This window comes from Homo sapiens, chromosome 10 (assembly GCF_000001405.40).
Source record: "Homo sapiens chromosome 10, GRCh38.p14 Primary Assembly".
Taxonomy (NCBI): domain Eukaryota; kingdom Metazoa; phylum Chordata; class Mammalia; order Primates; family Hominidae; genus Homo; species Homo sapiens.
In genome coordinates, this window is record NC_000010.11 from 91,704,479 (window position 1) to 91,721,180 (window position 16,702).

Sequence of the window (16,702 nt, forward strand, 5' to 3'; positions counted from 1 at the left end):
TTGTAGATGTGTGGCGTTATTTCTGAGGCTTCTGTTCTGTTCCATTGGTCTATATGTCTGTTTTGGTACCAGTACCATGCTGATTTGGTTACTAGTTTTTCAAATTTTAATAAAATGATTTGGAAAAATATATGCTTAACAAAATTTGCAAACCTCTATCTGCAACAGAGTCACTTTTTTGCCCTACCCTTTGTTTCCTAGTACAGTGAAACCCTGGGTATTTTAACTCTAATGAGATTCGCTACCACGACAAAACATGTCCTCTATTCCATAATTATCAAGTTAAAAAAAAACCACCAGTTGCTGACTTTTAAAACTAGAATTCAAGGCAAGTTTTATAATATTCATTTTTGTTTACCTATCTATAAAATAAACTTATTCTAGACTATTAAAAAAAGAGACAAGCACATAGAAAAAAAGAAAATCACCTAACTTGCTACTTTACCTATGAATAAATCATAGACATTTCCCCATATCATTATTATTCTTACACATCATTGTTATTACTGTGTATTATTCTATTGTATAGATATATCTTAATATATTTAATGAAGTCTCTTTTGATGTAGATATAGGTGAATTTTTTTCTTTCAGTCAGAAATTAGACTGTAATGAAATGGAATGAGAAAGCATAAACCCATTTTTTTATAGGATAAATTTCTAGCAGTGAAAATGCAGTTAAACACATTGAAGATTTAGGATATATATTGCCTAATTATCTTCCAGAAATGTTGTACCTTCCAGAATTACTGTGAAAATAATTTACCAGCCCATAATTGCCATGATTTCTCTGGAACTTCCTAATAGATATGAATTATGTTGCTAATTCACTAGTTATCTGGTAGTCTTTTGTAATTATAGGGTTCATATTTTAGTCAACAGTTCCCCAATTTTATCTCCAGGAACAGCTAGGTAGATGCCATATGCTCAAATGATTTATTTACATCTAAATCGTCCTTATGTTCAAGAACACTTTTTGTGCATATCACCATTAGCCCTACTCCATCTGGGTTGACAGTTACCAAAGTCAAAGTGTCCAGCCTCTTTTCTGAGGTGCCATTGCTAGAGTGTGTCAGAGGCACTAGACAATAATCATGTGTGAAAACACAACACTGAAAGGAAGGAAAATAAAGGTTAAGGCTTTAAAAAATATTAATAATCATAAGGAATCAGCCTAAAATGTAGTACTATCTTTATTAACTAATTAGGAAGCAGTAGGTTTATTTCAGTAATAAGAAAATGTCTTCAGTGTTTGGAACATATATTAATCAGGGTCCACTCAGGAAAATGGAGCCCACGCCAGGTGGTTCCATGGAGGTAAGTTACTTTAGAGAACCAGTTAAAAATGTTTTGGAAAAGTTGAGAGGCCAAACAAAGGAAAATGAGATAATTCAGGGATTCACAACAGCAGGAGGTTGCTACAACCATATTATCAAAATCCAGAAGCCAGGGCAACAGGACAGAAACTAGAAACTCAAGACACCCTCTGAATCAGAGAAATAGGAAATGGAATACCCTGATTTCTCTTTTTCTATTTTTCTCCAACTTCCCCACTGGGTTCCCCATGGATAAAACATAGACAGAAGCCAGTTGGCAAAGAAGCTTAGGAAATGCAGTGTACAGGGCAGCCCTCTTGGAATTTAGAGCAGAAGAGAGGAAGTATTAGGTTGGTGCAAAAGTAATTGAGGTTTTTGCCATTGCTTTTAATGGCAAAAAACGCAAGAGTTCAAAGCTGCTCAGCCAAGAGCTAGAATTTGCCATGAGGAGAGCACTCCTTCTCAGCTCATGGAAGAGAGCCCAGTACCTTGGTCTCTCCAGATATTCAAATTTCTTATCCTTAAACTCTAGTCTTCCCATGAATGGGTCCCCCACACCAGACCCAAGCCCACTTGAACTTCCCACTCTTAATCTCAGTTTGCACTTTGACCAATGGTACTCACATTTCATCAACGGTACTGACATTTCATCATCTTTGTCCTTGGAGGCCAATCCAGATGCTGAGCAGCTTTGAACTCTGTGTGTCTCTTCAAAGGCTCTGGACTCTGTGCCCATGTCCAAACCTCTGACCTTTGCCTAACCCCAGGGATCTGTCTTCACTCCCCTATTGCAGCAGTTCTTTCCTCACAAAATCAGTGGAACCAGAAATAGAAGTCTGAGTGCATTAAAGTTATAATAGTAGCTAATGTCATGACTAAAACTCATGTATATCTATCAAATATAGGATGGAATAAGGAGAGGAGGCAGAATGATATGAGCAAAATCCTCATCTGATGCAGGAGGTTAACAGATAACATTTAAAACTGATAAATCAAGATGGAGATATATGTGTATATTAATTAGGATCTGGAAGTAAGTGACAGAACTAAAACCAGAAACAATTAAAAAGAAATAAGACAATCACCTTTGGGCATTGATGCTGCCAGAAAAAAGGATGGAACAAGGGTCTGTTGTATTTTATTATAAGTCCTCCATATTCTTTTTTTTTAATCATCATAGATTCTGTGCTCAGTTTTTACACTCGCAGATCCCTCTACCTGGAATACTCTGCTCAGATATCTGCATGATTCATTCTCTCAGTTCTTCCTTTGGGTCTTTGCCCAAATATCACCTACTTAGTGGGGCCTTTCTTGAGCAGTCTATTTAAAATAGCAAATTCTCCCTCTGCTTTATTTCTCTAGATATCACTTATCATATTTTAACATCTATAAAATTTCCTTATTCATTTTAGTTCTTTTCTGTCCAGCTCAATTACAGAGTAATCTTCACGAGGTCAGGGGTTTTGTCTGTTTTCTTCACTGGTAAATGCCCAGTAGCTGAGCAATGACTGGCACTATTAACTGACTGTGTGAACAAATGGCACGTGTAAATTACTAGGTGCAAAAGATTGTAATGACCAACAAATGTTTTCAAAAAACTCTCACTTCTTTTTGCTTGTTTGTTTTGTTGTTTTACTTTGAGGTCATTCTTGGAGGATTAACTGTGCCTGAAGTTTTCTAAGTGGATTACTCTTGTGTCCCTTTTTGTCATTCAGAGATTCCTTTCAGTTCATCCTGATGAAGCATCAGGCTGGTCAAGTGCAAGGAACTGATGTGAGTGGGGAAAAGGAAAAGAGGTTTCCTGGTGGCACACTTTCTTACCCGTGAGGATACACTTTTCCCAAAAGGGTATAATCCAAGAAAGGAATGAGGTCAAGCTCCAGAGTAATGACATAATCAAAAGAGCATAATGAGTGTTGGGTCTTATTTGTTTGTTTCCTTAAACATTTCAATTATTTAAGTCTTAAAAACTAAACAATTAAAGGTTAGACAGCCTTGTTGACGTATGGGTCTTTTAGATAAGGGAGTCTAAAAACTGCACCTTTCAAAGACCTTATTAAGTCCATTGTAGTCAATGTGCTCTTAGCCCATTTCTTTTGAAAATACAAGTAATTCCTCATATCAGAATCCAGATAGTAGCAGCATCAAAAACAGGCCCTCTCTTCTGTCCCCTTCAGAAGACTTCACCTTCTACTTTCCTGGTGAGTCCTCTCACTACCGTGATTAAGTTGAGTAGAGGAGCCTGGAGTGCAGAGTTGACACACCAGTCTGGGTTCAAGACTGTGACAGTTAATTTTACGTGTCAGCTTGACTGGCCATGGGGTGCTGCCTTTTATGTATTTTATCATTTTAAACATATTTTTATAGTATCCTTTAGCTCACTGATCTCAAATATGTGGGTTACTCATTCCATTTGGTCTGTTAACTCTCCCTCTGGGAGTATTTCTTCCTTATGGGTTTGTATTTTTTACTGTGAGCATATTTCCAGGAGGGATTTGGTCAGGGGGCAAGTGGGAGGTAGGTAGGAGGGACCTGTGTTACAGAAGAGTTGCTACAGAGAGGTTTGGTATTTGCTTCCACAAGTTGCACTGGGTTGTTACCTATGTTTATGTTATTTCTTAGCTTGAGAATTCTAGGACTACTTGGGTAAATATAAATGTGAATTCCGCTCACACAAGACACAAGCTGGGTCTCTGATTTCTCTAAGGCGGAGAGATGTTTTGGATCACTTCCCTGAGTAAGCAAACAAACTGCTTCTAGTTCTATTTTACCTACAGTGCAGCCATTTAAGTGTTCTAGCTCTCAGAACTAGTTTCCTGTCTTACAAGGGTCCAAGCCCACACCTCCTGTCCTCAAATGAAAACAGACATTCAATCCCTAGCTACTAGTCTCATGGGTCTACTTCCAGATTCATATCTTCCTGAGCCACTGTGGCATCGGCTCATGAAGTTACACAGCTGGCTTCACATTTCCTCATTGCTTTTTGCACCAAGAGAGTTCTCTCACTTTGTTGTAAGTTTAAAATTTAAATTTTTTGTTGTAATACTTTGTCTTATATTTATATGTGTTGGAAGTGATGAAAGAAGATAATATGGTGGTATTTCAGTCAGCCATGTCACCAGAACCCAGGATAAATTTTTTAAATATATTTTCCTATATGGAAAACATACATTATCTTGGCAAAATTCTTATTCTTATTTTTTCATTTCCCAAATTATTGTGGTTTATTTCCTCAGGTGAAATTCCTTTGTTAAGAGTAAGTACTAGATCCCAAATTGGGCACATGCTATACAATTTTATAAGCTATCTCTTTGTATATGGCTTTTATCCTGAAATATTAGACCATTACCATTTCCTGTATCATTAACAATGTATCAAAAAACTAATACTTATGACCTGCATTTTATTACACTGCAGTATCATCATTTATTTAGCAGTCCCTCTACATTAAACATGGTTATATTTTTCAGTGTTTCATATAAATAATACTATTTGGCTGGTGCAAAACCGCAATTACTTTTGTACCAAACTAATATGATTATCTTCACACTTAAATATTTATCTACACTTTTTAATTGTTTTCTTAAGACATATTCATAGCAATGTCTTTACTGGAGATTGCATTAACTCATTTAAGCCATTGAATGTACTACATGGCAAATGATTGTTTAAATTGTATCACTGCCAAGAACCTAACCAGCTAATGTGCTAGCAGGAAGAGAATGATTAGCAATTACCCTCCAGTAAACCACAATGTCATAAGATTATTGTTTGTTTTACTAAAAGTTGTCACATGATTACAGGTCATTAGGAGCCAATGATAATGAAAACCCTATACGGGTTTCATAAGTGTGTTTAAATTTCACAAGCTTTGTATATTCCACCAAAAAGCCAAATGCTTGCAAATGTTCTCCCAATCTTACTTCTCAAAGACTGCTCTTCATTTTCCTCCCCTCATTTCTGAATGTCTTCAAAGACCCATATCAAATGCTGTTTCTTTCAGGAACTCACCTATCCAGGAGAATAAAACATAAGTCTCACCTCTCCTCTGTTCCCCCAGCACTTACAGTACTCTTACGATGTTGAATAGAAACACTCTCTGCTGTCTTACAGTAGTCATGCTGACACTCAACTATATGCTTTGAGGACAGACTCTTGGTCTGATCCATCTTCACATTCCCCAAAACACCTAGAACTCTAACTCTCTCTTCAGCATAGAAAGGACTCTTTTAGTTCTTTTAGACTTTAATGCACAAATGGTAACACTCCTAACTACACAAATCAATTTCATTAACAACTAACCAACAATATATATTTATACTATTCAAGTGTAAAAAACGGCTGGGCGCAGTGGCTCATGCCTATTATCCTAGCACTTTGGGAGGCCAAGGTGGGAGGCTTGCTTGAGGCCAAGAGTTCAAGGCCAATCTGGCCAACATAGCAAAAACCTCTAACTGTCTCTAAAAAAATTTTTTTAATTAAAATTTAGTTTTTACTCATTTTCACTTAATTTTTATAATATAATACATATTATATATAATAATTTTCATAAATAATAATTTACCTAATTTTACCCAATTTTTTGAGGAAGTGTGTCTCTTGGAATGTAAATATTGCCTTGATAAAAAGCCACTAAGTACTCCAATTTGAGAGATGAAAACCTAAATAAATCAATATAATCCAAGCAGAAATAAAGTAAAATTCAGAAATTCAGTTAATCTGGTTTTTGCATCTAACATTGTAACTAATGTTATTGCACATGATGGCTGAGAATAAGCCTAATGATAATGACAAATAGCAAAGTCAAGTGATTTTTCCCGTTTTTGAACTTAGTTTTTTCTCTTGGAATTTTTACTTATAGTAATAATCCTTAACTGTTTCAGGAATGAGTCTGACCGCCAAATAACTATCTTATATTTTTTTCACTGTTAACAATAAGTTTATCATGCCTGATGGATGGATAGGCGATAAAGCAAATACAGCAATATGTTAACTATATCATTTAAATCGGGGTTGGCAAACTTTTTCTGTAAAGGGTCAGATTGTTAAGTACTTTAATCTTTGCGGTCTCTGTGGAAACTACTCAAGCCTGCTATTGTAGTGCAAAAGCAGCCAGAGACAATATCTGAATTAATGAGAAAGGTCATGTTCTAGTAAAACTTTATTTACAAAAACAGGCAAGTGGGCCAGGCACAGTGGCTCACGCCTGTAATCCCAGCACTTTGGGAGGCCGAGGTGGGCAGATCACGAGGTCAGGGGATCGAGACCACCCTGGCTAACATGTTGAAACCCGTCTCTACTAAAAACACAAAAAATTAGCCGGGCGTGGTGGCAGGTGCCTGTAGTCCCAGCTACTCAGGAGGCTGAGGCAGGAGAATGGCGTGAACCCGGGAGGCAGAGCTTGCAGTGAGCCGAGATTGTGCCACTGCACTCCAGCCTGGGCGAAAGAGCAAGACTCTGTCTCAAAAACAAACAAACAAATAAACAAACAGGCAAGCAACTAGATTTGGCCCACAGGCCAAGTTAGGGTTTGCCAACCCCTAATCTAAATGGTGGGTATACAGATGCCCACTGTAAATTATTTCAATGTTTCTATATGCTTTAAAGCTTTCAGAATAAAATGTTGAAAACCATGTCTATGAGTTATCCAAAGGTTTTTAACTATTATGCAAAGGTTTAAATATTAAAAGCTTATAAATTGTCCCCAAGTTTTTGTTTTTGTATATGCTCTTTGTTATAGCTAGTAAAAGTTAAATATCTAATTTTCTGAAGTCTTTGGTTTTGATCAGGAATGACTGATCCAAAAATGGCTAGTCCTTGGCAATAGTAAGATAAAAATATTCCTCTCTGCTTTTCTCCACCGGAGTTACACAATGGTTTTCTACTTAATTGTGACCTTTCCATTTCTGCCAGGAAAGGGGAGATGGATGTTTGTTGTACTATTATTTTATAAATAGCATATGTACCTTTTTCCAGGCTTTCTTTTTAACATTCTGTTATTTAAAACTGACACTACCTAAAGTTGAGAGCAGTGACTTTTCAAATTAAGTTATTTCCTTTTGACTGTTTCCATCTACATGGTACCTAATTTGACATATTTTCACTTTCTTCACAATATGGGCTTTTTAAACAACTTTTTTTCTGGAAACTGTGACATGATTACTTTAAAAATCAAACAGAATCTAAATTTGCATGTGTTCCTAATATCAGCTCTGCTAGACACAGCAAGATGACAACCAGGCCATAAGACACCCTTTGGGATCTGTGTAGAGTTTGTGAATTGAAGCAGAAAAACATTCTAGTTTCATACTCACTGGCTTAGTTAATGATCCAAACCAAACATTAGGAGACAATCATAGTGTCTTTGTTCCTGGCAGAATTTTTGTTCAGGCCTGTGAAATCTTTCTGGCCTTATGGCCAAACCATACCTTATAGAAAACAAAAAATAGGATCAGGGAGAAAAACAGTATATCATTAAGGATTATTATAAGATCATTTCAGCCACCACAATCACAAGTTCTTCTGTTGTGATTCTCAGTCCTCCTGGATGTTGAACGCTGCCTGCCTGCCAAAACCGAGGGTCCCCACAGAGGCTTCCTGACACTTGGCTTTTTTATTAGAAACACTCTGGGTAAGACCCAGTGAATCTCCCCAGAGGATCTGGCCCTCTTCCTATGCAGTCCTTCTGGAGAGTTACCATTTTAAATAAAGAAACTGAAACAAAGAGAAAATAGATCACCACACTGCCTCCCCCGCTGACGGGTGAATCCCTGCTTCTGAACTCTTTTGTCTCTGTCCCATCACCACTGCCTATCACTGCTTCCTGATAAGAAAGCTATCTTACAAATGCCTACTTTGAGAAATGGTGCAAAGACTACAAACTCTAAAGTCAAATAGATTAGGGTTCAGCTCTCACAGCTGCCACTTACTGGTTATGAATTTGAGTCACGTTTCTTAATCCTACTGAAGTAGGCTGATAATGACTCCAACAATTTGTCCACATCCTAATCCCTGGAACCTGTGAATGTTACCGTATGTAGTAAATTTTTGCAGGTGTGAGTTCTTAAGGATCTTGGTCTGAGTGGATTATCCTGATTACCCAGATGGGACCTAAATGCCATTACAAGTGACCTCATAAGAAAGAGACAGAAGGAGAATAGGCACCACACACACACAGGAGAAGGCAATATGAAGATGGAGGCAGAGATTGCAGTGATGCGGCCATAAGCCAAAGAATGCAACAGCCCCCAGAAGCCGGAAGAGGCAAGGAAAGGATGCTCCCCTGGAACCTCCAAAAGGAACAGCCCTGCTGACACCCTGAGGTCTGACTTCTGACCTCCAAAACTGTAAGAGAATAAATGTCTATTGTTTTAAACCATCAAGTTTGTGGTAATTTGTTACAGCACCCACAGGAAACTAATACACCTGCTAAGCCTCCGTTTCCTCATCTGTTAAACTGAGATAATAATATATGCCTTGCTAGGTTGTTGTCATAACAAAAATTAACTAATGCAAAATATTAGCTCAATGTCTGGCACATAGTAGGCATACAGTACATAGCAGCAGCTATTATTTTTATTAGTATTATCTTCACTATTTTTAATATGGATAAAAGAGTATGGGCAGCTTATCCTAAACCCAGTACTGCTCCTTTAAAAATCAGTCAAACCAAACACCAAGTGGTATAATCTTCAACTAGGGAGAACTGCATATTTATTTATAGTTTGTATCAAAATAGTGCCTTTCATCAAAAAACTAACTTCTATTCTGTTGCCATATTATTATGAAATGCTCCATCTATTCATGCCAATAATTAAATAAGCCATGTTGCATTTTTCCAAGTATTTAATTGTATGTTTAACCATAAACTACATGTTTAAAATGGAAAATAAACATTTCCAGCTGTTTTGTGGACAACACATCTAAATTTGAACTTCTGAATTCTGGAAAACCACAGATCTTTTAAGTATGCTACAATTATTTCTTAAAGCAATGTCAACTCTTGCTTATTCAGGAGTTGAACATTCAGCTGAGGTGCAATTAGGGGAGAGTGGGAGTTTTATGTGATGGAAGATTGCCTCCCCAAACACAGAAGTGTAGTATGTAGGAGGTCAATCATTCATTTAACAAATGATTATTTAGTCATTGTGCTGGGCATTGGAGGATGCAAAGGTGACTAAGATAGAGCCTTTACCTTGAAGGCACTCACGGAACAGTGAAGGACATAGAAATATAAAAGCAGATAGATGAAAATTCAGAATGATAATAGTGAAGCTAACATTTACCAAGTATCTATTATGTGCCACGCACTATATAACCCTTTACATGCATTTTCTCATTTAATCTTCACAACCACCCTGTGAAGTGGGGTTTTGGTAAGGTTAGGTTGCCCAAGGTAACACAGCTAGTTTAAGAACAGCCTAATTCCTGGGTCCTCACTTTTAACCACTGCTGCAGAGGCATAAACCATTTAACATGATAACACAGAAAAGGAAGAAAGTTACTGTGCCTGGGGGAAGTGGGAGGGTTCCATCCAGAAATACAGTTGACTTGGATCAAGGATGAATGGAATTTAGGAGGACTTTGTTTTTAAAGGTGAAAAATACGCCAAAAGGCACTCCAGAAGGAGACAAGTGCCTGTGCAAAGGTGAGGCATCAGGAAAGGGCCATGTATTCAGGGCAACTGGAGTGCCATGAGTCTGGCGTGGTCAGGAGTATTATACTGGACACAAAGAAGAACCTCAAGTTACTAAAGCCTTTTGGGGGTGATATGGTTAGGCTTTGTGTCCCCACCCAAATCTCATCTTGAATTGTAATCCCCATAATCCTCACAGGTCAAAGTAGGGACCCGGTGAGAGATGATTGGATCATGGGGGCAGTTTCCCCCATGCTGTTCTCCTGATAGTGAGTGAGTTCTTCCAAGATCTGATGGTTTTATAAGCATCTGGCATTTCCCCTGCTTGCACTTCTCTCTCATGCCACCACGTGAAGAAGGTCTTTGCTTCCCCTTCGCCTTCCACCATGATTGTAAGTTTCCTGAGGCCTCCCCAGGCACGTGGAACTATGAGTCAATTAAACCTCTTTCTTTTATAAATTCCCCAGTCTCGAGTATTTCTTTACAGCAGTGTAAGAATGGACTAACACAGGGAGACACAGGATTAGATGTGCATTTTAGAAAGATGCTTGGGGATCCATGCAGGGGATGGGCTACACAAAAAACCAAGCCTGGAGGCTGGGGTTTCTAGTCTGATATGGGAATCAGATTACTACTCACTTATCTACTCCCATTGGAATAATTTAAAAATACAAAAGAAAACATATTATATTACTGCTGGAAACAATGGAAGGCAACCATTCACATAGCAAAAGGCATTGTAGCAAAAGACATGCCTGATCTTACTGGCTAGTCAGCTTCATGTAAAAATGTCTGAAACAAATTTTAAGGTCATCTGGGACCCTCACTATGTTAATATTAGACAAAACAGTATTTATGCCAAAAAGAATTTTTAAATGAGAAAGGGGGTCATGTTAGATAGATAAAAAGGAGCCATACCAAAAATACAGTATGAATTATCATGCACCAAATAACATAGCATCAAAATAGATAAAGCCAAAGTTTCTAGCAATAAAGAGAAAAGTGAAAAATTAGAACTATAATAGGCTTTAACATACCCCTCTTTTCAGAATAGATCTAATTAACAAAAGCAAACATAGTTTATAAAAGTATAATTAAAACTTTGTGTTAATAAATATATATATCACACTTTGTATCTCATGAACTTTAAACTATATCACATCCTAGTGAACAAGAAAATCATAAGTTCTAAAAACTAAAAATTGTACAGTTTACATTTCCTAACCACAATACAATTAATAAACTAGCAATTAATTTTTTAAAATGAACAAAAAATAAACAATTTGGGGTTATAAAACACCATCTTAAGTAGATTGGAACAGAAAAAGAGTATAAAACTGCAGTTAAAAATTCTTTAGGAAATAAGTAAAACATTAGTTATCTAAACTTTTCCTCAGAAAAGTACTCAGAAGGAAATGTGAAGTCTCAAGTATTTATAATTAAACAAACAAAAAAATAAAAATAAGTTAAATACACATCATTTCAAGGAGCCATAAAAAGAGCCACAAGACAAGCTTAAGGGAAATATGAGGAAAGAAAAAATACAGCAGCTGACAGCAGAAATAAAACAATTTAAAGTATTAAATAGTTTAAGAGATGGTTCTTTTTTCTTTTTCTTTTTTTTTTTTTTTTGAGACTGTCTCGCTCTATCGTCCAGGCTGGAGTGCAGTGGCACAATCCTGGCTCACTGTAACCTCTGCATCCCAGGTTCAAGCTATTCTTGTGCCTCAGCCTCTGAAGTAGCTGGGATTACAGGCGCCTGCCATCACGCCTGGCTAATTTTTGTATTTTTAGTAGAGACAGGGTTTCACCATGTTGGCCAGACTGGTCTCGAACTCCTGACCTCAAGTGATCTGTCCGCCTCAGCCTCCCAAAGTGCTGAGATTGTAGACATGAGCCACCATGCCCGTCCAAGATGGTTTATTTTTAAAGAAGACCAATAAAACTTACCTCTGGTAAGTCTAATCAAGGTAAGGAGAATCTATACAAACATACAATATAAGAAATGAGAAAGGAGACACAAACGTAGATAAATTTTTAAAGTCTCTATTAACAAAACAATTCTGGAAATATGTATACTACAAAATCTTCTATGAAAAGGTGATAAACTTCATAGAATAATAACCAAAGAGAGAAATTTTTAAATGTGTCAAAATATATTCCCCCAATGATACCAGGTTACAGTCCCATGTGGTTTCACAGATTTTTTTTCTTTCAAATCTTAAAGAGGAATACATAATTTATATGCTAAAGAGTAGAGAGAAAGAAGAAATGTTTACCAATTCATTTTACCAGATGGTATAAACTTGATGTTAAAACCTAAGTAAAAGTGAAAATATATAATTATTTAAGATATAAATAGAGATTTTAGATCTTACATAAAATTTGAAAATTGTAACACAGAAGTATATTTTTGGAAAATTTTCTTTCATAATTCAATTAACACAAATCACCATGTAAACAAACTAAAAACCTAAAAGTCATCTCAGTAAACATATAAAAAGCATTTGATATAACCCAACATTCATTCCTGCTAAAATACTCAGCAAACTAAGAATAGAAGGGAACTTCTTCAACACAATAAAAAATATCTATGAAACCTGCAACTAATATCAAACTTAATGGTAAAAGCCTAAATGTTTGCCACCTAAGATCAGGAACAAGACAAGAATGTTCACTCTTACCACTTTTATTTACCCTTGTACTGGAAATTCTAGCCAGTTCAATAGGCAAGAAAAAGAAATAAAAAGCATTCTGATTGGAAAAGAAGAAGTAAAACTGTCTTTATCCACAAATGATATGTTTGTCTGTAAAAATCTGATGGAATCTACCAAAAAGCTACTAGAATGAATAAGTGAGTCTAAATGTTACAAGATACAAGATCAATACATAAAAATCAATTTTATTTCTGGATATACTAGCAATGAAAAATCAGAAGTGAAATTTTAGAAAAAATATTATTTATAATAGTACCAAAAAATGAAATATTTTAAGAACAAATCTGTGGATGTAGAGGACAAATAATGTCAAGGGCCTGTGTAGTGAAAACTATGAAACATTGAAAAAAAATTAAAGAACAAAATACATGGAGAGATATACCGTGTTCCTAGATTGGAAGAGTTAATATTATTAAGATGCCAATTATCCCCAAATTGGTCTATAGATTCAATGCAATCCCAATCAATTTTCCAGAAGTTTTTTTAGAAATCGACAAGCTAATTCTAAAATTCACATGGAAATGCAAAGAACCTAGAACAGCCAAAACAACTTTGAAAAATAACAAAGTTAGAGGACTAACACTGATTTCAAGACTTATTAAAGAACTATGGGCCAGGCCCAGTGGTTCACACCTGTAATCCCAACACTTTGGGAGATTGAGGTGGGTGGGTTGCTTGAGCCCAGGAGTTCAAGACCAGCCTGGGCAACATGGCAAAACCCCACCTCTACTAAAAAAAAAAAAATTACACACATTAGCTGGGCATGGTGGCCCATGCCTTTAGTGCCAGCTACCTGAGAGGCTGAGGTGGGAGAATCACCTGAGCCCAGGAGACGGAGGTTGCAGCGACCCGAGATCATGCCATTGCACTCCAGCCTGGGCGACAGAGCCAGACCCTGTCTAAAAAAAAAGAAAGAAAGAAAGTTTTGGCCTAGTGAGGATACTAAAATAAACCCCTATTCCAACTGATATTGTGCCACTCACTGGTCTTTCCACACTGGAGTTTGTGGGAGGATTACCAGACAAGAGGTCAGTCCAGCACCTTCCGAGTTCTGGCTCTGCCACTTAGCAGTTGCTTCAAGCAGGCACTTACTTTCTGTACTTTGGTTTTCTCTTCATAAAATGTGAAGGTTGTGCTACATATGTCCATACCAAGACTTGTATATGAATGTTCATAGCAACTTTACTGGTAATAGCTAAAAACTGGAAAAAACTCAAATGTCCATCAACAGGTGAATGGATAAACAAAAGCGATATATCCATACAATGTAATATTAGCAAAAAGGAATAAACTATCAATACATACAACAGCATGGAAAAATCTCAAAATAATTATGCTACATGAAAGAAGACTGTATTTGTTCATTCTCACACTGCTATAAAGAAATACCTGAGACTGGGTAATTTATAAAGAAAAGAGGTTTAATTGGCTCACAGTTCTACAGGCTGCACACAAAGCATAGCGGCTTCAGCTTCTAGGGAGGCCTCAGGAAGCTTCCAATCATGACGGAAGCAGCCATGCCTTACATGACTGACCAGGAGGAGGAGAGAGAAAGGAGGGGAGATGCCACACACTTTTAAATGACCAGCTCACACAAGAACTCACTCACTAACTCAAGAACAGCCCCAAAGGGAAAACCCACCCCCATGATCCAATCACCTCCCACCCGGCCCCACCTCCAACACTGGGGATTACAATTCCACATGAGATTTGGGTAGAGACAGATACAAACCACATCAGAGGCAGACCCCCAAAAAACCTTATGCTGTATGATTACATTTATAGAAAATTCTAAAAAATTGAAAACTACGATGACAGAAAGCAAAACAATGGTTGCCTGGGGGTGAGACATGGGGAAGAATGTGAGGAGAGAAAGATTATAACTATCGTCAATAATAATTTAATTCTATATTTTACAATAACTTAAAAAGTGTAATTGGATTATTTGTAATGCAATGGATAAATGCTTGAGGGGATAGATACCCCAGTCTCCATGATGTGCTTATCTCACATTGCATGCCTGTATCAAAACATCTCATCTGCCCCATAAATATGTACACGTATGTATTCATAGAAATTCAAAATTTAAGAAAAGAAATTCAAAATAAAAAAATTTAAAGGATGAAGAAATATTTGGACCTGATAATGTTATTGATTTCACAATTATATACATATGTCAAAACCCATCAGATTTTACAGTTTAAATAGATGCAGTTTAGTTTATGTCAATTGTACCTCAATAAAGCTGTTTTGTAAATCCTAAATAAAACATTAGAAATTTTGCTGGGTATGGCATCTCATGCTTGTAATCCCAGCACTTTGGGAGGCCACAGCAAGAGGACTGCTTGAGCCCAGGAGGTCAAGACCAGCCCGGGCAACAGAGTGAGATCTCGTCTCTATGCAAAAAGAATTTTTTAATATTTTTAAAAGATTATATAATACGGAAAATATATTAATATGATCAATTATGTTAATTAATTGAAATAAAAATATTTCACTTAACATTTTTAATTCTAAAAGAAGAATATTTCATAAAATGATTTTAAAAAGGTATCTCAAACTGATATTCAGAATGGTATTAATGGTAAGACACTAGATGGTTTTAAGACACTAGATGGTTTCCCATTAAAGCCAAGAATGTTCACTATTACCACAGGCTTGGGTTTTTCAAAAATTAATCTGACATTTCTAGCTAGTTGAATTAAATAAATAACAAATAAATATTTAAAAGGAGCCGATAGAAATGTCATTATTTATAGATGAACCGATTTTCTACTAGAATAGATTAAAGTAAGTCCAGTGAAAGACTAGTGAAAGAAACTCCAGGAGGTAGGTGGTTTGCTGCAAAATGTATGCTAAAATAATGGTTTTCATATATACCAGTAATCACAGAAACATAAAATACTTAAGAATACATTTAAAATAAATATGCAGATCTAATATGAAGAAAACTACAAGTCTTTACTGAGGGGCATAATTGAGACTTAGGAAAACTGGAAAGATAGTCCATGTTTCTGGAAAGGGAAGGCTCAGTGCTGAATTTCAATTCTCTAGAAATTAATCTAAACAGCACAATGACAACTAAAATGCCAGCAGGATTTCTCTTCAATTTGAGTTGATTCAAAATTTCATCTACATGAATAAACATACATAAAAAAGCAGCAGTATTGAGAAAAAAATCAATGTGGGGAAAGGTATCCAACAAACTAATAAAATGTACTAAGAAGCCACCATAATGTAAATATTAGGCTGGAATTTGGGTAATCATAGGTAGATTCAAGGAACAGAATTTAATATCCAGGAAAATCCTCAGGTATTATAATAGTAGCATTTCAAATCAACTGGTGTTCTAAGCACAAACCAAAATAAATCAAAATGTAAAATATAAAAATTTTAACAATATAAAAACCTTTAAACTTCTTTATAACAGAAAATATCACAAACAAAAAAGAAAAGGCAAACCTGGGGGGGGAGGAAAATATAACATATATGGCAGGAAAAGGGCTGGCTACTCATATATAAAAAGGTCTTTAACAAAATAATGTGCCTCATTAGGAAAACATGCAAAATAATTAACTGTGCATTAAATACAAATGATGACTAGACAAAGAATAAACATAGCATTACTATTAATCTAAGCAGTGTATATTAAAATAATGGGACTAAGATTTTGTTGAGACAAAGAGACTTTTATCTGTCAAACAGGCAAACCTATAAAAGCATAATAATACTAAGTATTTGCAAAAGTGGCTTTTTGTTGCATTTAGCCAATGGGTGGCACCAACAAGACAGGAAGTGGGAGATATTGAAATTTTTTATTTCCCACTTGAGATATAGTTTGCCATACCTGTGATCCTCTACCTAAAGTCACAGTTCCTGTTAAATGGCCCCTTCCTCACAGTAACAACTCTCACCAGGTTCCAGTGAAAACTCCCTTGCCCTGCTTATTTAAGCCCAGGGCACTAGGATGCTAAAAGCTTCCTGCAATATCTAGACCCTGGATGTTTTCACACCTGCTGGTTCCCCTAACCCCT

At 36.3% G+C, this 16,702-nt stretch overlaps 1 long non-coding RNA gene across 1 annotated transcript in view, besides 1 other annotated feature; it reads right to left on the bottom strand.

Annotated features, from left to right (window-relative positions):
- The window catches only part of LOC107984253 (uncharacterized), a 30,274-nt gene extending 28,279 nt beyond the window's left edge, over window positions 1-1,995 (bottom strand). The window contains exon 1 of the long non-coding RNA XR_001747550.1: window positions 1,941-1,995. This is a non-coding gene — a long non-coding RNA (uncharacterized LOC107984253). The remainder of the gene's footprint in view (window positions 1-1,940) is intronic.
- Window positions 6,176-6,677: an enhancer, noted in NCBI's record as "H3K4me1 hESC enhancer chr10:93470411-93470912 (GRCh37/hg19 assembly coordinates)". NCBI's record gives its function as "activates a minimal SCP1, AML or CMV promoter by ChIP-STARR-seq in naive H9 embryonic stem cells {active_cell/tissue: H9 hESC(naive)}" and the evidence as "EXISTENCE:reporter gene assay evidence [ECO:0000049][PMID:30033119]".